The sequence below is a fragment of the Homo sapiens genome, chromosome 9 (genome assembly GCF_000001405.40).
Source record: "Homo sapiens chromosome 9, GRCh38.p14 Primary Assembly".
Lineage (NCBI taxonomy): Eukaryota > Metazoa > Chordata > Mammalia > Primates > Hominidae > Homo > Homo sapiens.
Genome location: NC_000009.12, coordinates 68,358,074 through 68,381,926, shown reverse-complemented (window position 1 = coordinate 68,381,926; position 23,853 = coordinate 68,358,074). Strand labels below are relative to the sequence as shown.

General features: G+C 38.3%; 1 protein-coding gene across 5 annotated transcripts in view; it reads right to left on the bottom strand.

Annotated features, from left to right (window-relative positions):
• Positions 1–23,853, bottom strand: part of PGM5 (phosphoglucomutase 5) — a 174,451-nt gene that overhangs the window by 149,135 nt on the left and 1,463 nt on the right. For all 5 annotated transcript variants that reach the window (NM_021965.4, XM_047423473.1, XM_011518783.4 and 2 more), the window contains exon 2: positions 3,566–3,728. In NM_021965.4, the coding sequence (NP_068800.2) occupies positions 3,566–3,728 (163 nt within the window). The remainder of the gene's footprint in view (positions 1–3,565; positions 3,729–23,853) is intronic.

Genomic DNA, 23,853 nt, shown 5'->3' with positions numbered 1-23,853 from the left:
TTTGATCCATGATCAGTGAGCACAGGATATCTATTTATTTGTGTCTTATTCAATCAATGTTTTATAGTTTTCAGTATACTTTCACCCCTTGGTTAAATTTATTCCTAAGTATTTTTTTGATGCTATCATAAATGGCATTGTTTTCTTGATTATTTTCAGCTGGGTCATTATTTATGTATAGAAATGCTACTGATGTTTGTATGTTGATTTTGTATCCTGCAATTTACTGAATTCATTTATTAGTTCTAAAAATTTGTGTGTGTGTTTGTGTGTGTGTGTGTGTGTGCATGTGTAGAATCTTTAGAATTCTCTATATATAGGATCATATCATCTGTAAATAGAGATTATTTTACTTTCTCCTTTCCAATTTGGATGACTTTTATTTATTTTTCTTGTCTGATTGCTCTTGCTAGTACTTCCAAAACTATGTTGAATAGAAATAGCAAGAGTGGGCATCCCTGCCATGTACTAAATTGTGGAAAAGTTTTCAGTTGTCCCCAATTGATTATGATGTTAGCTGTGGGTTTCTTATAAACGACCTTTATTATGTTGAGAAACTTTCCTTCTATACCTAAAGTGTTAAGAGTTTTTGTTAAGAAAGAATGCTGAACTTTCTAAAATGCCTTTCCTGCACCAGTTGAGATGATCATGTGGTTTTTATCTTTCATTCTGTTTAGCCAGTCTTGCATGTCAGGGATAAATCCCACTTGGCCATGATTCATAATTTCTTTAATGTGTTGTTGAATTTGGTTTTCGTCAATATTTATCAGAGATATTGGCCTGTGGTTTTATTTTCTTACAATATGTTTGTCTGGCTTTAGGTATCAAGGTGATGCTGGCCTAACAAAATGTGTTTGGAAGTATTCCCTGTAGCTCTAATTTTTGGAAGAGTCTAAGAAGTGTTGGTAATAATTATTCTTTGAATGTTTGATAAAATTCAGCCATGAAGCCGTTTGGTCCTAGGCTTTTCTATTTTGGAAAGTTTTTAATCACTTCTTCAATTTCTTTATTTGTTGTTGGAGTGTTCAAACTTTTTGTTTCTTCCCAATTCAATCTTGTTGGGTTAGTTTTTCTAGAAATTTATCCATTTCTTCTAGGTCCTCCAATTTGTTGGCATAAAATTGTTCATAATAATCCCTTATGACCATTTTTATTTCTGAGGTATCTATTGCAATGTCTCCACTTTCATTTCTGATTTTATTTATTTGAGTCTGCTTTTTTTAGTGAATCTAGCTAAGAGTTTGTAGATTTTATTTTTTCAAAGAACCAACTTTTGATTTTATTTATATTTTCTATAGTTTTTCTATACTACATTTTATTTGCTTCTGTTCTGATCTTCATTATTTCCTTCCTTTTGCTCACTTTGGGTTTAGTTTGTTCTTTCTTTAGCTCCTTGGGGCATAATGTTAGTCTACTTATTTAGATCTTTTTCCTTTTTTAATGTAGGCATTTATTGCTATAAACTTCTCTCTTAGAACTGACTTTGCCGCATACTGTAGGTTTTGATACATTGTGTTTCCATTGTCATTAATCTCAAAGTATTTTTTAATTTCCCTGTTGATTTCTTCTTTGACCCATTAGTTCATCATAAGCATGTTGTTTAATTTCCACATATTTGTAAATTTTCCAAGATTCCTCTTGTTATTGATTTTTAGCTTCACACCATTGTGGTTGGAAACAATACTAGACATGATTTCAATCTTTTTGAATTTGTTAAGGTTTATTTTGTGGCCTAACATATGGTCTATCCTGGAGAATGTTCTATGTATGCTAGAGAAGAATGTATATTCTGCTGTTGTTGGATGAATGTAGGTTTGGTAGGTCCATTTGGTCTGAAGTATAGTTCAAATTTAGTGTTGTCTTGTTAATTTTTTGTCTGGTTGATCTCTCCATTGTTGCAAGTGGAGTACTGAAGTCCCCTATTAGTGTTATATTGCTGTATATTTCTTCCTTCATGTCCACTAATATTTGCTTTACATATTTAAGTGCTTCAATGTTGGATGCATATATGTTTACAATTGTTATGTCCTCTTGATAAGATGACCTCTTTATCATTAAATCATGACCTTCTTTGTCTCTTGGAACAGCTTTTTACTGGAAGTCTGTTTTATCTGATATAAGTATAGGCATCCCTGCTCTCTTTTGGTAACTGTTTTCATGGCATATCTCCTTCTATCCCTTTACTTTCAATATATGCCTATTCTTAAAGTTTAAAAATGGGTCTCTTGTAGGCAGCATCTAGTTGGATCTTGTTGTTGATCCACTCAGCCATTCTGTATCTTTTGATTGGAGAGTTTAACCCATGTACCAGCAAGGTTATTATTGATAGTAAAAGACTTACTCCTGCCATTTTGCTAATTGTTTTCTGGTTACTTTGTAGATAATTTGTTCTCTTCTTCCTCTATTGTTGTCTACCTTTGTAGTTTGGTGGTTTAGTTTTCTGCTTTGTGGTTACAATATTGTTTTTTAAATATTCAACATGAATACACTTTCTTGTTTGGATAACGTGTAAAACGTCTGCAAGGAGGGATAGATAATAAGTTTTCCCTTCAGACTGCACTGCTTTGCCTGGGATGAGGAATAATTTATAATGGTAACTGTTGCTGGTTAAAATTTGGCTCCTACCCACATTCATGCAAACTCAGTGTTCTAGATTAAAAGAGATTTAAGAGACTTGCCAAGCAAATGCATGGCATCCTTAGATGTATCCTGATTTGAATAAAACAGCTATAAATAATAATATTTTGGGGATTATTGAAAAATTTGACTATAGATTAGTTTTCAGGTGATATTGGAGAATTAATGTTATTATTGTTAGGTATGTTAGCACAGTCATGCAGCAATGTGTCTTTCTTTTTTAGAGATGCATACAAAAATATTTGGGTGTGAAATGTTCTCGTGCTATAATTTGCTTTAAAATTCTTCAGAAAAAAAGATAAGCAAAATAGAAAAACAAGATAATGGGTACATGTTATCTATTTCTTATTCTCCCTATTTTTTTGTGTGTTCAATTTTAAAAGAAATTTACTCCATACATATATCCCACCCCCTCCACTAAGGACCCCCAAACTATAGATTGCTGTGAATATAAGAAAAAGTGAAACAATTCTATGATTTTGAGAGAAAGTCAACACTGTAGGAAAAAGAGAGGCCAGGATTTGGGCTAAAAATCATTAATCTGACCCTGATCAACCCTGTGGCCTTCAGCAGTAACTCAGCCTCTCAGGCCTTTGATTTGTTCATGTGTAAAATGAGGGTCATTTTCATTTAGACAACGACCTTCAGGGTATGTTTTAATGTTAAAATTCAGAGTCCTTCCATATCAGATAAGCATCAACTATTCAATAGTTTATGCTGAAGAGTACAGGGGACCAAGAGACCACCCAAATGGGTTCATGAGCCCATCATGCCACTTCTTTGTTGGATCTCTTTGGGCACCTCACTGAATTTTTCTGAGCTAGGTCCTCTGCACCTTGCTTGTCTATCATCAAAGAGTCACTGTGAGACTATAATAATATAAGAGGAAAGAAATCGTAATTATTAAGGCATATGCTGAACCACATACCTCCATTGGCAACATTAAACTTCACTCCAAACTCTCCCCCTGGTCCTCCAGGGCAGTGGCTGGCTGTTAGAATGATTCCACCAGCTGCCTTGATCTTCCTGATAATGCAGGAGACCGCAGGTGTCGACAAGATGCCATTCTGTCCAATAATCAGTCGTCCAATCTAAACCATCCAAAAAAAAAAATCAATCCAGTTCCTTGGGATTAAAGCCATTTCAACAGGAAAGTGCCCCAGGCTCTGTTAACATACAGCCAATAACTTGATAAAAGAAACAGAGTAGGCTTTAGATTAGGGGAGGCAGGGTAGGGGGAGCACTGACATTGTCTCTCCTATCTAATGTCTCTAAGACCATTTGGTGCACCTGCATCTAGTAGTCAATTATTAACCTGTAAATAGGATATGCCTCATTGATCTTCAGTAGTTTGAAACATCTGCTTCTGATAATCGAGGGGTTAGCTTGAATCACACAAGAAGTTCTTAGTTTGCTACTGACTCAGAAACTATGCATGTGGACATGCTAGAGATTACAAGAAAAAAGAAATGGAGTGCTTCTCTGCTTCTTCTGCTTCCTGTAACTTAGAACAAGCTCAGAGAGCAAGGGGACTGATTTAGTACAACCTCATCACCTGTGGGCATATTTTAACTGTAATCTTCAGGAATGACTTTTCTCCTGAAAGTAGGAATTCTCTTTCTGCTGTTAAGTGACAGCATGTGCTGGAGACATTGGAGAAATTACCCAGTCATGCTAAGCAGAGATCTGGAGGTCATTCATGGATGCAGCCAGATTCTTTCCAGAGCTACAAAACTGACTTTCTAAAAAGTCAGCAACACAGCGCTGAAGAACATTTATTGCTACACCTTGTTTTAAAATTGGATTCAATATCATCCAATCTAGTAGTTCTCAATATTTCTACAAAATAGAATCACTTACGAAGCTTTTTAAAACCCTAGTACTCAAACTGTATTCTAGACTGATTATATTGCAATCTCTGGGGTTGAGAGCCCAGCATTAGTAGTTTTAAAGCTCCACAGATGATTCCAATGTTCAGCCAAGCTCAGTAATAAAGCCCCCTTGTTACTCAAAGGGCTGGCAACATGGGCATCACCTGCAAGCTTGATAGAAATGCAGAACCTCAGCTGGGCGTGGTGGCTCCACCTGAAATCCCAGCACTTTGGGAGGCTGAGGTGGGCAGATCACTTGAGGTCCAGAGTTCGAGACCAGCCTGGCCAAAGTGGTGAAACCCTATTTCTACTAAAAATACAAAAATTAGCTGAGCATGGTGGTGCACGCCTGTAGTCCCAGCTACTCCGGGGGCTGAGGTGGGAGAATTGCTTGAACCTGGGAGGCAGAGGTTGCAGTGAGCTAAGATGGCGCCACTGCACTCCAGCCTGGGCTACAGAGTGAGACTCTGTCTGAGGGAAAGAAAGAAAGAAGAAAGAAAAAGAAAGAAAGAAAGAGAGAGAAAGAAAGAAAAAAAGAAAGAAAGAGAAAGAAAAAAGAAAGAAAGAGAAAGAAAGAAAGAAAGAGAAAGAAAGAAAGAAAGAAAGAAAGAAAGAAAGAAAGAAAGAAAGAAAGAAAGAAAGAAAGAAAGAAATGCAGAACCTCAAGGCCCACCCAAGGCCTACCGAATAAGAACCTGTATTTTAATAAGATCCTCTCCTCTCTTCCCAGATAATTCATTTGATAAGTACTGATATAACCGACAAGCCAAAACAAACTTTAACATACAGTTCAACAACAAAGTTGCCCTGGCACCATCATTGCTAGAGGTCCGTCACTGACCAAATATAACAATCAGCGAGATCAGGGGAAAAAAAGATACAGAAGAGATCAAAACACACACACACACACACACACACACACACACACACACACACACACACAGCTCAAAAGCAAAGTGGCCTTGGGATGATTTAGTATGGAAATCCACAAGATCCCCAGGCTACATATTTTCAAGCAGAGGAGACAGATTATAAACAAATAAGCAATAATAATAATAGTTACTAGTGAGGTACATATTAGGAAGGAATTAGACTGCTATAATAGAGAATAAAGGATGTCAATTTTAATAATAATATAATAATAATAGCTAAGGGAGCTTAGATTTTATTCTAAGTACAACCAGAATCCATTGAAAGGTTTTAAACAGTGGAAGTGACCTGATTGCATTTTTAAACATCATGGGCTGAGCAGCCCAAATGGTCCTATTAAAAAGTAAGTCACATCAAGTCACTAAAACATTCCAATAGCTTTCCTTGTCCCTCACCAACCCAAAACAAAGCCAAAGTCTTCATTGTAGTCTACAAGGCCCTACATAATCTGACCTCCATCATGTACCATTCTCCATCGCCCTCCCGCCCTCCTTCTTCTGTTCCAGCCACAACGGAACAGAACAGCTATTCCTCAAACATACCAAACATGATCCGGCCTCAGGGCCCTTGCATTTTCTTTTTCCTCTGCTTAGAATACTTGCCCAGATATTAACATACCTGCCCTCTACTGTCTTTTGGGTTTCTGTTTCAATGTAAGCTAATCAGAGATAGCACCCTTGACAGCCCTATATAATACTATGGCCAGAAGTCCCTAACTTTTCTATTGTTTCCTATTTCCTTCACCCTGCTATAATTTTCTGGATCACATATATTGCCTTTAACATTTTCCATATTATTTATTTTCCCACTGTATGTAAAGCCCAAGGACTTTTTTTCACTGCTATATCCCAAGAACTTAAAATAAATCTGGCATGTGGTAAGCGTACAATAAATATTTGTTGAATTAATGAATGGAGAATAATGAAAGTATGATGAATGGATTCTCTGGGAGAAATACCTTGAAGGGGGGCAAGAGCAGAAAGAGGAATATCAGATGGGAGACTCTTCGAGTCGAGTGTTGATAGAGTCTTGGACTAGGCTAAAGCCAACAGAAATGAAAATTAGTCATTTGGTTTGAGATACATTTTTGGAAGGAGGATGAACAGAATATGCAGGTGGACTGGAATATTGAAGAGAGGGGCTGTGGTAAATAGCCTCCAAAATGGCCCCAATCGTCCTTGCCTTTTGGCATTTTTGCCTTTTTGTGGTCCCCTCCCACACTGAACGATGCAGATCTGGGTAATCAGTATATATTGCAGAAGTGATTGTGTGTGACTTCCATGGTGAGGCCATAAATGGCATGGACACTTCTCCCCTGCTCTCTTGGACAGCTTATTTTGGGAGAGACCAGCCGCCATGTCATGAAGACACTCAAGAAGCCCTGTGAAGAGGGAGCAAGGCCTGCCAACAACAGCCAGCACCAACTTTCCAGCCAAGGGACTGAGCCATCTCACAGTGGATCCTCCAGCCCCCACCAAGACTTCATATGACCAAACCAATACCAACATGTAACTGTGACCTCATGTGAGTCCCCAAGCCAGAATACCCATCTCCTGTCTCATAGAAATGATGAGAAATAATAAATATATGTGCTCACACATATTACCATCTAATTTTCTACATTATATGTTTATTTCCCCACTGTATATAAGATCCAAGGACTGTTTTCTTTTTCACTGCTATATTCCAAGAACCTAGAACAAATCTGGCATATGGTAAGTATACAATAAATATCTGTTGAATTAATTAATGGGAAAAAATAAATGAATGATGAACGGCTGCTCTGGAAAAAATACCTTGAAGAGTGGCAGGAGCGGAAAGAGGAGGATCAGATGGGAGGCTAACAGCCAGCACCACCTTGCCAGCCAAGTGACTGAGCCATCTTGCAGTGGATCCTCCAGCCCCCATCAAGCCCCAACTAAGCCACTAAGTTTCATGGTAATTTCTTACACTGCAATAAATAACTAATACTGGACCAGTGAGAAAAGGAGTCAAGAATAATCTCAGCTTTCTACCTTTAATAACTTAATGGATAGTGGTGCTATTAATCAAGTCAGGAAAGAGAAAGGACAATAATTACACCTATAGTATTACCCAAAGTCATGATAAATTATTTTCCATATGCTCTTGCTAAAATTTATGTAGTCATTCAACTTATTTTATTGAGTATCTACCATGAAACTGGCAATATGGAAGAACCTTCTGATATAGAACTGAATATAATTTAGTCACTGCCCTCAAGTAATAAGTCTGGAGAATCAAGAATCTGAAAAATGTTTGTAGCTTTTGTTCAAAATTTTCTCTCAGCCATTTAAAGGGAAAATTATGAAGATTGTATAGTGGTGACAGACTGGGATAGCAGTCCACAAAAACTTAGGAAGCCCTTCCATAGCACAGAGTCAATGCTGAGGAACAGCTGCCCAGCCAGGGGCTACATTTTCCAACCCACCCTTGCATCTAGGTGTGGCCACATGGTGCATTTGGACAATGGGTGATAAACTAGTATGAGAATGAGAACAGAAGTAATGTGTGTTTCTTCTAGGCTGAGGATATCAGAAAACAAACATATCATCTCTACACTGCTTATTTCTCTTTCTACAGATTCAGTACAGGTAATCATGTGGCTCTAGGCAATGCCAGAGTCACAAGAGGGAAGGAAACTGGGTCCCCATCCCATTTGGTAGACAAGAGTCTTTGCCCACCAGGGACATCCTCATTGGACTATGGTGTGAGTGAGAAATAACATTCTATTGTTTTTAAGGCAATAAAAATTGCCTACATTTCAGGTTTATTTATTACAACCACCCACATTTTCTTAAGCAGTAGCGAAAGAAACATAAACGACAGTTTAATGCCAAATCAAAAATGTCAAATGCAAAATTATTTTATGCTATTACAGTATAAAATTATGTCCACTTTGGGGCAAGGACTTAGAAAAATGCAGAAATAAACATGTAAAGTTATTAAGTAGGAACAATTATAGATACATTTTTATCTTATTAAATTTCAGTTATTTTTGAAAAGGTAATATACATTCTGTTTAAGAAGGTTAAAGTGAGTAATTACACTTGAATAAAGTTTCAACCTGAAATACTTTAGTTATAATTGGAGAATTACCAGAAGATTAAATTCTAGATATCTGGAAATTTTACCTATGTGAGATCTGCTCATTAACCCATCAATACCAGAGAGAAGAGGTATTGCTGGACATGGTCCTATCATCTGGGGGATAAGTACTGGAGGAGATGTGAAAGAGAGGGTGATGGGGCTTCTAAGGTAAGACATGGAAAATTGTGAAGATATGTGTGTCCCTTATGGACACTCACAAAATGGTGACCTAGGCAGAGGAGGATTTTAATAATAGGATGACCAGTTCTGTGGATGTCAATGAGTGGCTTTCCCCCAGCCATTCCTGTCATTGTCCAATGGGCTCATGAGCCAAGTGGCTGATATGGTTTAGATGTTTGTCTCCTCCAAATCTCATATTGAAATGTAATCCTCAGTGTTAGCGGTGGGGCCCAGTGAGAGGTGTTTGGATCATGGGGGCGAGTCCCTCATGAATGGTCTAGCACCATGCCCTTGACGATAAGTGTGTTCTCGCTCTGAGTTTACATGAGATCTGCTTGTTTAAAAGTATGTGGCACCTTCTCTTTTGTTCTCTTGCTCCCACTCTTGCTGTGTGATATGCCTGCTCCCACTTTGTCATCCGCCATGTGTAAAAGCTCCTGAGGCCTCACCAGAAGCCAAGGAGATGCTGGCACCAGGCTTGTACAGCCTTCAGAACCATGAGCTAAGGAAACTTCTTTTCTTTGTAAATTACCCAGCCTCAGGTATTTCTTTATAGCAATGCAAGAATGCTGTAATACCATGGCCGTGATGGCAGGGGTGAAGGCTATGCATGGGCTCAACAACATGGACATTCACTCACCAAGGCTGACCTGGCTATGGCCACTGCAGAGTGCCTACTCTACCAGCAGCAGGGGCCAACACTGAGTCTCCTTATGGTACCATTCCCCAAATGATCAGCCAGCTACGTGGTGGTAGATTGGTTAATTTGGGCCACTTCCATCACGGAAGATGCAGCACTTTGTCCTTACTAGAATAGACACAAAGAAGAGGAGATATGAAGACAGATGCAAAGATTGGAGTGATGCAGCCACACCCGGGAAGCCAAGGAATGTATTCTGCTGCCAGAAGCTGGAAGAGGCGGGAGCAGATTCTCCCTAGAGCATCTACAGAGTGTGGCCATGCCGATACCTTGATTTTGACTTCTGGCCTCCAGAACTGTGAGAGAATAAATTTCTGTGATTTTAAACCACCAAATATGTGGTAATTTGTTATGGGAGTCCTAGGAAATGAATACAAAGTTTGTAATCTAATACAAAGTTTGTATTAGCTTCACAAGGCTGCTATAACAAATTGCCATAAACCTGGTGGCTAAAAGCAATTAAAATTTATTCCCTTACAGTTCTGGAGGCCAGAAGTTCAAAATCAAGGTGTCAGTGAGGGTCTGCCTCATCGAAAGGCTCTAGGGGAGGATCCTCCCTTGCCTCTTCCAGTTTCTGTTGCCTCCACATATTTCCGAGCTTGTGTTCACATCACTCCAGTCTCTGCCTCTGTTTTCACGTCTTCTTCTCTGCGTGTCTATGTCTTCTCTTCTGTTCACCCTCTCTCTACCAATTAGCTCAGGATAAATGCCATCAGAAAAGGTATGGCTTTCAAGATCTAGTCATTGATAAAAAGAAATATAACTTTTGAAAGCCCTTTTGTATAAAGAAAAAGCACTCAACTTGAAGTTAAAAGGCATAGGTATGAGTCTTGACTATCCCCTGACATAGGATCAATCATTTAACTTCTCTGAGGCTCTGCATCTTTATCTGAAAAGCCAAGAAAGAAGAGGGTTGTTAAAATCCACCGAAGATCAGATTCTATAAACAAAAACTCTTTGTTAAATTAACCATGACACAAATTATTCTATTGTCTTCCCCAAATCCCACAACCCCCTCCAACATTTAAAATTCATCTTTAGATAGCAGATTATCCCTTAAAGTACCATTTTACTCTCTGAAAAAGTCCTAGAAATACTACCCTCTGTCAATGCAGCAGACCGCTACCTTGCAAGGAAAAGATGGTCTACTTACATAATTATCCTTAGTTATGTTTACAGCATTGAAGCAGGCAATATCTGACTTTCATTCCTGAGTGAAATCCAGGCCACAGCCCAGGGAGGACCAAGCCATGGCATTCTGTTGCTCCCCGCTGAACGTCCCACACCATAGGGTCTGGGTTTGGCTGGAAGAAGGGCAACCTCACCCAGTCCTCCAGAAGGTGCACACACCCAAGTGGATGCTACTGCCATTAAGGGGCATTTCCTTCAACTCCCACGCGGAAAAGGGGGCAAAGTGGACCCTAGTCCACTGTCACTCACACACATGTACAGATCCCAGGGTCCACACAGATACAGATCCCAGGGTCCACATCTATCACATATATGAACATTATCACACAGACCCCTGCAGACACATCTGTGAGGCATATGCATTCCCAAACACACAGACAGACTCATGATAAATTTGTTCCTACCTAGCCATGACTTCTAAATGCTTGGGGAAACCAAGACATAGTAGAAAGGAGTGTGCAATTATCATTTCCCATGATGCCGTTACTTAAGAACTCTTTGTGTCCGTCCTTCTAATGGCACCAATGCCTCCCATCAAGCCTTAAACCTCACCTAAATTATGTCATTGGGCTTTTTCATCCATAAATGAGCATACCAGGTGCCAAGGGAATCAATATGCCCTTTCACATGCCTTAGACCAGTGTCCAAAGAAAGATAAAATGTCATTCTATAAAAGCTTTCTCCCAGCATTTCTATTCCTTTACATTTTGTGCCATATACAACTATGGTTTTTTAATGATCTTATTTCTGACAGCTGTTTTTCTTCAGAACATCAACAGCTTCTTTCCTAAACTAGTTTTAGTATGAGTTCCATTTCTAATTAGCTCAAATTAAAGTCCTAGAGAGCAGCGAGGTAATATTTAAACCCTCAGGCTAAAATTTCGGAGTAGGTGCAGAATGTTGACTCTAAATGAGTTTTTCCTGTGACATAACACGCATGAAAGCAGGATTTCTTTCATGTGTGAAATGTCTTAAATCAGACTTACCCTTTGTGATTCTCTTTTAGCTTTAAATGTCATTTAAGAAAAAAAAAGAAAAGAAAATTAAGCATGACATTCCCCAATATCCTCTGCTCACTGTGTTATAATCCCTATCACTCCCCAAGTGAATTGGAGAGAGTGAAGACACAATGAACAGAAACTTCCCTGATGCTACACAGAGGAAGTGTTCTCCAGGACCATACAGCCTCCACCATGTCCATCTACGAAGGGCTGTGGCAAGCCATATACACAAAGATGCCTGTTTCCTGTCTTCTCGGTTAAAAACAAAAACAAAACACTGGAAGGAACCCCAAAGCCAAGCTGCCATGGGTTGCAGAATGCCAGTCCTTAAGTAGTGTTGTCCATGGGTAAACAGGTGACGGATAAGGGCAATTTCAAGAAATAACAAACTCAAGGCATGAATGTGGTTATCCAAACATCAAGGGACTCCTTCATTTGCATTTGGATAATTGTGCAGTTATATGATTTGTTACATGGAGACCAGATGGAAGTAAGAGAGCTCATCCTCAACGTCCTGTACCTCTGGAAGTCTTTACACACATGCTGGAGAGATGGATGAGAGTTCATGAGCATCAAACCACCATGGATTTCATAATCAATTCCTAATATCTGAATAAGTGCCGAAAAGTCACAGGCATCTAGAAGTGTGGCCCAAGTCTTGTTCTTCAATCGGCCCACCCATTTCTCAAGATTTCATTGAGAAGATCAAGAAATCTAATCTTCCTTGGATGCAAAATGGAGGTGGTGAAAATTGGAAGTATGTCCTTCCTGGTAATGAGGCTATTTCAGTACATAGGAAGTGCTCTGAAATCTTTAAGGTATACAGTCTGACTCACTAGAACAAGAAAGGGCTCCACTTGTTGCCATTTTATGAGGTGACCACCCCAGCTGGATAAGAGCTACAAGTGTCCATTGGGTCTACCTGGGTGTGGGTCAAGAAAGCAGAGTTGAGTGCCCTGAGGTAAGCTGAGATTTTGGTGTTCGATGGGAAAGAATGTAAGAATTGACTTTGCCACCTACTGCCTGGGTGACTTTGCGCAAGATCCCAAATCCCTATGTATCTCGATTTTGTTATCTAAAAGATCACATGATGGAGGATGTAAGCAAGTAGCACAGCCAAGACCCAGTTTACAGTGTCTAGTACCTAACAGACTCTTGACACGTTTCACTTGCCCTTGAGTCAATCTTTCCATGTCACTGAATATTCTTCCACAACATGATTTTAATGGATATAGTCGTCCATTGTTTAAATGTACCATTATTGACCAATGTAAAAATGTTCTTTTACCTCAAATTTTTATATGTAAAACAAAAACATGTTTGAGGACTAAACCCACACTGTAGTATAAATTAAACTGGATGTAGGCCAGGCATGGTGAGTCACACCTATAGTCCCAGCACTTTGGGAAACCAAGACAGGAGGATGGCTTGAAGCCAGGAGCTCAAGAGCAGCCTGGGCAATACAGCAAGACCTCATCTCTACAAAAAAATAAGAAAAATTAGCTGGCCATGGTGGCGTGCACCTGTAGTCCCAGCTTCTTGGGAAGCTGAGGTGGGAGGATCCACTGAGCCCAGGAGTTTAAGGCTGTGGTGAGCTTGGATAACGACTGCACTCCAGCCTGGATGACAGAACAAGAACCTGTTTCAAAAAAGAAAAAAGAAAAAAAAAACCTAAAAACTAAAAACTGGATGTAGTTTGCTAATAACTAAACAGCAAATTAATTGTAACATGCTTACATATCAACGATGTCTTTCTTCTTTAATCATAAACCTGCTCACTAAGAAGCTGCTGAAGTCCATGGTAGTGACAGGTACATGTCTGCATCCTTGTCCTGACCTGCATCTTCTTTGATTGTCCCCATCTGTGTCTCCGACTGGCACTGCCGAACCGGCTTGCTACCTGATCAATGTTGTACTGAACCGGACTGCTAACTGATCAATGTTGTTGAGCTCACTGCACAAAGCTGTTCTTACAAGGTAGATTTCTGCCTGGAATAGTCATACTTACACTGTTTATATTCCTTACTCCTGACCCATCCAACGCAGCACAAGTTCTATTTATTGCCATAGAAACATAGGTCATTTGGAAACACCTCCTTCATTTCTATGGAATGTTCAAACATTTCTGACATTTTGGACTCTGTTCTAGCCTCTTGTTAAATATATCCAGAAAAGAGACAAAGCTTTATGGGGGGGCTATATGCACACATATGCTATAGAATAAACTATCTAAATGCTTAAAAATACTTTCCATCTGGCACTGCACCTTAATAGGTAGACAGAAATTAAGTATGTGTATATCTATCTGTATAGATACGTATAAATATATATCCCCAAAACAAAAACTCATTCTCTTACTTATACATAGGTAGAATATAGGTGAATATACATATACATTTATAGGTAGAACAAAAAAACCCCTCAGCCTCTTTAGGGCCATGTGTTTTCTCTGAGTAATTGTCACAATTAATTAAAATACATGTGTATGCCTTTTTAGATAAATTCCATCAGACCAGTTTCTGTCTGGTTGGAAAATAATAACTGCCTATTTGCTAAGTGCCCCTGCCCCCATACTATGTTCCAGTGAACTAAAGACCTCTGGCAATCATAGATTTACAGCTCAGCAAGATTAAACAATTTATTGTTATTTATGACATCCAAGCTGGATCTTCTGTATTATATTCCACATTAGCATCTATCACTTTACATTTGGGAGATCCTGTCCAAAAAAAGATTATGCCTCCTAACCAAACATTCAGCAGGGATGCAGGAACAGGCCCCCTGAACAAACATCCTGCCAAAGTACTTTAAAGCACCGTGAGCTCCCACAGCTGTGCATTTTCAGACGACTCAGCAGATTAGCGTGGAGTCTCTTAGCCCCTGCTTGGTCTGTTCCTTTCAGTAATCTCTCACATGGCCCAGTCCATTCGATTTGAAAATCCTCATGAAATGAGCAGATTAAGATCTGGCTTCAGTAGAGGGCCATGGGGTGGGCATGAAGGGGAGAGGGTTTGCTCTTAACACAGCCTGAGCCTCAGAAAGGTTTCAGATGGAAAAGCAGGGCACTGACTCAGCTCACGCTTAACAGGAAATAATGCACAGACCACACCAAAAAAGTCCTTTATGTTGTGTGAAAGTCTATGCCGGAGCAGCTGCTGCCACCTCATGTACTGTGATAGAGTGTGCATGTGTGTGTTTGTGTGTGCATGAGTGTGAGTACGCATACAAATGTGTGCCGGGAGGGGGAGAAGCTCACACCTTCAACAGTCGCCACCTCAGCCTTAGCTAGCAGCATGGAGAAATGCCAAAAGTCAAGAGGAAGCTGCACCAAAGCAACTGTGATCACCACATCAGCAGGCGCTTTCTGGTTAGTAAAGCTACTGGGACAAAAACACACATGATCTCGTCCTTCTTTTATTTTAATCAGAGCAAAATATTTTTATAATAATTGTGTTATATGAATAAATAATTCATAATGCTGTAACCCATTATCACATTCAATCCTCCCAACAACCCTAGAAGATATGTAGACAAGTATTATTACTTTCCCTATTTTTATAAATGAGGAAATAAACCCTAGGAGGCTAGGCGACTTCCCCATGGTCATATAAGTTGCAAACAGTAGTATCATGATTCAAATCCAAAGCTTCTCCTTTTGTCTTTATCATTTTAATTTTGAAGGTAATGCATATGCATGTATGATCTTTTAAATCCAGAGATGTATATGGAATAGATAGGAAAAGGGACTCTCCTTCCCCATTATACACCCCCTCCACCCAAGCTATATCCACTGTTGACTAGAGTATGTCCTTTCAATCCTATTTTCTATGCCTACATTATATACAGAAAAGCAGGATTACGTTACACACAATATTCCAGTCATTGCTGTTTTTCACCAACAAGCTATCATTCACATCTTTTTCATACTACATATAAATTTATATCCTTTATTTTAGTGGTGTATATTGTGCAGTTGTGTCATAAATTATGTACCTGTTCTCTGTTGAACATATAGATTTTTTCTGAGTTTTTCCTTAGCAAAATGCTGCAGTGAGTACCCTTGTACATAGATGTTTGTACATTTGTTCTAGAAAAATCTACAGTAAAGATTCTTAGATTAAGAGATTCCCAGGTTATTAGAAAACTACTCTATTAATTTAGATATATACTTCCAAATTGCCTGACCAAAAAGTTATGTCAATTTAACTTCTATGAACAGTATACAAACATGACAATTTTCCATCACCTACACCAACTCTGGGTAATTTCATCTTTTTTACAAGTTGATGGATTGTTTTAATTTATATTTCTCTGGTTATTAATAAGGTTGGCCACCTGTTCATGTGTTATTATTGATGATATTTGTATTGAATTGTTTGAATTTTCTTGATTTGGAAAACCTTTTTACATGTCATAGATATTAAATATTTGTTGTAAAACTCTCCTTCCAGTATTTCGTATGTGTTTGGTCAAGTAGAATAAACTCTTGTCCTCTGATTTCAGATTCCTTTCTCTTTCCATTAGAAATCCCTAAATGTAAAACTACATATTGATAGCTAAAAACCAGGATGTTTACTAGAGAAAAAGAATACAAAGGCAATAATTAAATATTATATTTATACAAAATACCTACTAGTACAAACTTAAAAAGAGAAAGTAAAAGTCAAATGCTTCTACGACTTCAGACTAAGAAAAAGAACTTTTGAGGTTGAATGTTCCTGAAATTTTTCTTTTCATACAACTACGGACATGACTTCAAAAGTTGATGTTACTAAAAATGTAAGATATGTAAGATATTTGAAGACTCAGAGAAGGTGGATTTTCATTTTAACAAGTCACATATATATTCTAGATATCCTCTTATTCATAACTAAGAGAGTCAAATCAGATGAAAGAATCTAAAAATTTCCCTTTGACTGTGTTAAGTAGAAGTAGTAGAGGCATATTGGCCAAATCTTGAGTGTTTGCAAATTGACTCTTAAGGCTATAGGCTGGCACAGGTCATTGAAGCCCTAGCTTTTTATCTTTAATTTTAAAATCCCCAAACAATTTATACTAATTTTTCTTGTCCATTATTTCCAAATAATCTTGTTTAAATGTTATTACAGTGCTTGCTCATGTTACTGTTGTCTAACAGAAGGGTATCCGGGGCCTTAAAACTGAGAGGGTTAGGATTAATGATTCCAATACCTATGCTTGGACATCTCCAAAAGTGGGTTCCAACTTCTTGTCCTCAAGTCTGTATAGAAACTAGCAAACTTCCAGAGTTCACAAAAGGCTCAAAGAGAACAGATGTTTTATAGAAAATTCTTAGGGCAAGTTTCACGCATAATGTTGCTGATGTGTGTCTGCCTTTTCAATAAACATCACTATGCTTTATCACAAGATTTAATAAAGCAGCTTAGTTAAAAATGCCATCTGGGTCTCTGGACACATTAAACAAAGCTTAAAATAACCACCCCAGCAACTGGGAGGACCCAGCTGTTCTCATAATCTGTCCCACTCCTTTTACTTCCCCATAAAAAGAGTGAATGAAGACCACAGACTAAAAGCATCCAGAATGAACTGACACAAACAGGGAGATAGATGGAGCCAAGGGCTCCTGTAAGTTTGCTATTGCTCACATAATAGATTTGCTAATTCCACAACCTGGGGATGGGGATTCAGAAAGGGAAGCAGAAAGAGGGAAGAGAGAATCATAGAAGGGCTCATTCAAGTCTTCTAATGTATCACAAACCTGTCCTCCCTAATGTCTGGATCATAGCAGCCCATTCCATTCACCTATTCTGTAGTGAACTCCAGTAGAAAATACAAAGCCATCACCACCCAGTTCTTTCTCCCTTCTAGAGATGAGATATTAGCCACCCAATCCCAGATTCTCAGATCCATTCCAGGAAAGAAGCCCTAGGTATTGAAGCACAGCTTTCTCTCCCTCCCTTCTTTCTTCCACCCCAAGAATTTGTTCCCCAGATAGTTCTAGTAAATGCAAAACCAAGTATATTCTCATTCTTTAGAGCAACCAGCTTTTCATGGCCAACTGGAATCAAATACAACCTGCACAAACATCTATCTGGAGGACACTCCCAAGGCTCCTACTGAGCCAGCCTTCTGCATACCACTGCATTTCAGCTTCCTAGTTCACAAGACACTGAGACATTCTTGAATTCTGCAAGGTGCACTGTGTGTTAATATCATTGCTGCTCATCATGTGGCCAATAAAGGGCATGACTAGTCAACAAATACATTTTCTCTTGGCTAAAACTTGCAACAAAACTGTAAGTTGTTTACCAAGGGGCCCACTACAGGTTATATTCAATACATACAGTCAAATCATAATTATCTGAGATATATTCAGTTGACCATACACCTTTATATTTCAGTAAAAGGTCTTTACATTTCCCAGTGCTATCGATGTTACAAAGTGCTTTCATATGCAGTGCTTCATCTGATTTCCAGGATAATTAAATGATCCTGTCATACCTGATTTTTAGATGAGGAAACAAGTGGTTTCTGGGTATTTCAAGAGGCTAACGCATCTGCCCTCCAACTTGTATGTGAAAACCAAAAACAAAATTCCAAGGCCCCTCAACCATCTGAATGGACTTTGACTCTTTTGGTCAATATATGGCAGAGCTAGGAAAAGAAGGTGAGTCTTCCAGCTGCTGATACAGGGTTTTTTCTGCCATACTCCATTACCTCCAAGGCTAAAGTCAAAAGAGGGTGTGGTTATCACATGAAAAAATCTGGTTTGGATTTCCCAAATGTGTATGTAGTATTTGGTGATTTACCTTAATTTAACCTACAGTTCTTTTGGGTTGTAACAGTCTGACTCCATTTTTGAAAACAAAACAAAATCGATTTTAAATGCTGAATTATAGGTCTTTGCTGTCCAGTATGGTAGCTACTAACCACTTATGGTTATTTGCATTTCTATTTTAATTAATTAAAATTAAGTAAAATGCAAAATTCAGTTCTTCAGTTGCTCTAGCCACATTTCAAGTGTTCAGTAGTCACATATGGCTAGTGGCTGGGACAATGCAGATTACAGAACAGTTCCATCATCAAAGAAACTTCTATTGAACAGTGCTATTATATAATGTCATCTCCAGAGAAAGAAGACTTTAGAAAAAGTCAGAAACGGCCGGGCGCAGTGGCTCACACGTGTAATCCCAGCACTTTGGGAGGCCAAGGCAGGCAGATCCCTTGAGGTCAGGAGTTCAAGACCAGCCTGGCCGACATGGTGAAACCCCGTCTCTAGTAAAAATACAAAAAATTAGCTAGGCGTGGTGGTGCATGCCTGTAACCCCAGCTACTCAGGAGGCTGAGTTGGGAGAATCACTGGAACCCAGGAGGCGGAAGTTCTAGTGAGCCAAGATTGTGCCACTGCACTCTAGCCTGGGTGACAGAGCAAGACTCCATCTCAAAAAAAAAAAAAAAAAAAAAGAAAAAGAAAAAGTCAGAAACATCTTGAGGCAGGCACAGTGCTGACATCTGTCCAATATTGAAGATGATTTAAGAATAAGAAAGAAGCAGAGAACAAAGAAGAGAAAAAGAAATTGCCTTAGGTGTACCCACCCAGAAAAGGACAAAGGCATTCCTGTAGTCATTGTGTTGTATTTTAGCTCTTAAACTTTTTAAGAGATTAGAATAATTTGACACATAGAAGATCTAAACCACTGAAGAGGCTCTGAAGCAGATAAAAGTAGAAAGAAAATAAAAAACTAATTAGTTACAAACTAAGCTTAACCACAATTCGTTTAAAGATACTATTTACTCTTCACATGATTGGTTTTTCTTTTGCTTTATAGTATGACATAGTTTATATCTTTAAAGGGGAATTAAAATATTTCTGGGAATTTTTAAATGTAAGTTCACACAGCCACATAAAAACTACAGAAACAGATAAAACCTATCTTCTCATTTATTCCCTAATCCATTCAAATTAAATATAAAAATCCAAGCATCCACAGTGATATTCAAAAAAGCAAAAGTGAGACAAAACAAAATTCATTTGTCACCTGTGGAGGTAGTTAACTCACCAAATCTTCACTCCAAACACCAGTAATTTTTAAAAGACAGAAATAAACATATGTTCTGCCTTCCCGGAAGGAACTATGTTTCAGGGTAGCCAAATAACCCAGTTGTGAAGAAAATGGTCTGCTTATAGAAAAATGCCAGCTAAAACATGTATATAGAATTAGAGAATTAGAAATTCACCATTTTGAAACCCCTAATGAAATAATCAACTCAAGCAAGGATCATTAATAAATGCTAAAACAATCAAGTAAATATTGATACAGAATATAACTGAATATACACATGGTACAAAGTTCACGTCACAGACTACTGGCTTGACCCAAGGGGGAATATAACAGAGGAGATAGGCAGTGATCGCCCTAACCTTGCGATCATCTCACCATCACTAATGATGGGATGTGAATACACATTATTGCCTATGAAATAGTCTTTAAAAAAAGAAGTTGAACCTGAATCTAACTAAACCTTGCAATGGGCTGAACGTGTATGTCTTCCCAAAATTAATATGTTGACATCCTAACCCCAAAGGTGCTGGTATTAAAAGGTGGGGCCTTTAGGCGGTCATTAGATCATAAGGACAGAGCCCTCATGATTGGAATTAGTGCCCTTATAAAAGAGGCCCCAGAGAGCTAGCTAGTCTCTCCCACTATGTGAGGGCCCAGCAAGAAGGCCAATCTATGAACCAGAAAGTTGGTCCTAACCAGATATCAAAACCGCATGCTCCTTGATCTTAAACTTGCTAGTCTCTAGAACTGTGAGAAATAAATTTCTGTTCTTTATAAGTCATCCAGTTTTTGGTATTTTGTTATAGCAGGCCTAAAAGCCTTTAGAACTAACTTCCAGTTAACCAGGAAAAAACAGAGTGAAAAGTTAAATGACACCATAAAAAGCAACCAGAAAATTCCAGAAGGGGAAATATTCTGCAGGACAACTGACTAGTTTTTCAACAATCAATTTCATTAAATAAATACATAAACAAAGAGTGAGGGTATTTTCCAGGTTAAAAAAAGTCTTGAGCTAAATAATCAAATGCAATGTGTGTCCCTTGATTAGAAGAAACTAATTTGAACAAACCAGCCACAAAAGATATTTCAGGGAGACCAAGCTGGAAGGATCACTTGAGGCCAGGTGTTTGAGACCAGCCTGGGCAACGTAGTAAGACCTCCATCTCTACAAAAACAATAAATTAGCTGGGCATGGTGGTGTGCACCTATAGTCCTAGCTACTCAGGAAGCTGAGGCAGGAAGATCACTTGAGCCCAGGAATTTGAGGCTGCAATGAGCTATGATTGTTTCACTGCACTTCAGGCTGTGTGAAAGAGCAAGACTTTGTCTCAAAAAATAAAAGGACATTTCATAATAATTGAGGAAATCTGAATGTGGACTGGGTAATAAATGATATAAAAAAACCATTTTTTATTTTGTTTGAAAAGATGATTTCGTAACTATACAGGAAAATGTTCTTATTTTTTAGAAATCTGTACTAAAGATTTAGGGGTAAAATATCATTTTCTTTAATATACTTTCAAACACAAGCAAAAAATAATCATGACACAAATATAGGAAAATGTTTACAATCTATGTTCTATGTTTGCCTATGAGTGCCATTAATCTCATCTCTCTGCTTTTCTGAAAGTTTGAAAATTTCAAAGTTTTATAATAAATTTTTTTACATCCCATAATTTTATAATAAATTTTTTAAAGTTTGAAGCAAATCAACAACTATAGCTTCAAAAATATCCTGACCCACAATAAACATTGAACAGGGTATATTTCTCCCATTTCCTAAAAAAGTTGGCCCAGGAAGGAGTATGAGAGCTGCCATAGCTCTCCCAAGGCTCATTATTCTCCATCACTCCATGGGAAATCCCAAAATAAATTTTTAAAAAAGTTGTTTAAATTTATAATGTTTTTGATTCTATAATAATTTTATAATAAAATAATTTTATGTTTTTGATATTATATTTTTAATTTATAAAATTTTTTATACATGTTTATGTTTGAAATGTCTATTTCAAACTTTATGAGATATTAAAATATAAGTAATATAGTTCATCATTTTAGAAATGCCATGTTTTTCTTCTCCAGCAATTACATAATCAAAGAGTAACTGTAGTTTTTCCTAGAACATTGCTTTGTAGGCTGGGCATGGTGGTTCATGACACTTTAGGAGGCCAAGGCAGGCAGATCTCTTGAGATCAGGAGTTTGAGACTAGACTGGGCAACACAGAGAAACCCTATGAGTAGTAAAAACACAAAAATCAGCTGTGCATAGTGGCATGCACCTATAGCCCCAGCTACTCAGGAGGCTGAGGTGGGAAGATCACCTGAATCTGGGGAGGTCAAGGCTACAGTGAGCCAAGACTGTGCCATTGCACTCCAGCCTGGGCAACAAAGTGAGACCCAGTCTCAAAAAAAATGAAATTTAATTTAAAAAAAGAAAATTGCTTTGTAAAATTAACTTTTTCAATCAAAACCAAGATTTTTCAGATATAGAGAATGCAGCCCACTGGTTAGATTTGTCAGTTCAAAGAGAATAAATTCTAGTTTTCTATTTTTCTAGCCTGCTTATGAGTATCCAATAGGATATCAAAAAAGACCAAAGCCTTTGGGATCCAAGTTCAGTATTCCTGAGTCTAATTCAGGATGCCAAATCAGGAGACAAGCACATTCTCATCAATTTTCAATCATTCAAGACCAATTTTGCTTATAATTATCCAGTTCTTTTAGACCACCTTTCTCCTGAAGCCAGCCTTATGGCTATTCACTTCACTTTAGCATAAGCCCCCAAGAAGGTGAACAAAATGAGGAAAAGATTGGTTAAAGTTGGCTGTTTGAAATTCTGAAACATGTCCACCATTCCCTTCACCCATGCCCACCCCTCTTAGAAGTAGTACTTTCAGATTATTTAAGAGTCGATGCTTCTATGTGGATTTTAATTTGTCATCTGTCCTTTATAACAGCTAGTAGGTTTAATTTGACCCTATTTTAAGCATATATTGACCTATGCTAATTATCTGTTAAAATAAATTCCACTCTTAGAGTTAATAAAGTGTGTTTGTCATAGAAGACCCATTGAAGTAAGAAGCTGAGGAGTCCTTATGGTAAAGTGGGACAAGAAATAATAAGACATAATAATTTTCCCATGCAAATCAACAACCGTAGCTTCAAAAATATCCTGACCCACAACAAGTATTGGACAGGCCATGTTTCTCTCACTCCCTAAAAAATTGGCTCGGGAAGAAGTATGAGAGCTCCCATAGCTCTCCCAAGGCTCGTTATTCTCCATCACTCCACAGGAACAGCCTGTCAGAGAAGAGTGAAAGACCATTTGTCAACCTCTCTTCAACTCCCTGATTCTAGCCAAACTTCATCAATCCCAAGTGAGGAGCCAGAGATAAATCAAACCCCATATATCCAGCATCATTGTCTACTGGAGTCAAAAATCACAATTCCACTACCCACCCCAACACCACTGGCCCTGTTTCTCCCAATTGCGTTTTATTATGTTTTTAAAAAAATCCTCTTTCCCCATCCCTGCAACACCGAGAAGGAGGAATTATAGTAGATAAATATGAAGCATGGAGATCCTTTAAAAATGTTTTTAATAATAAATGAGAAAATGAAAAGGAGAGGGTTGGGAAGGAAGGAGGGAATTCAAATGCCAGGGAATTGTTCAGTTTCGCTTTTAAAGATGTTAACACTCATTTATACATCTGCAAGACACTTTCCTTAAAGAAAAGTTCTATGAGTGTGGGTCTGGTTGCATGAATAAGGATAAAATTACTTTTTTAGACGATGTTTCCCACATATAATTCAGAGACCCCTGAAATTAGGTATCCCTCTTGTAGATGTCCTTGAGATGCTGCTGGACCTGGGAAAGAGGAAACTGGGATATGGGTCTATGCCAAAAGGTGCTTCTAGTTATAGGACAGAGAGGAAAGGGGCAGAGGGAGAAAAACCTGAAGTCTGAGAATCTGGATTGCAGAAGACTACCGAGGTCGTGGGAGAAGGGAGAGAAAACAAGGATGAAAACCGAAAGGGGAAGAGGCATGAAATGTTGTCAAATGCCAAAAGGCATTTGGAGAGAAGTTGGGAATTGCATTAAGAAAACCACTGCAAATCTCATTTCAGACCATTTAGAGATATGCCCCCTGGGAACTGCGAGCTCAGGCTGTTTAGCATCAAACAAATGGATC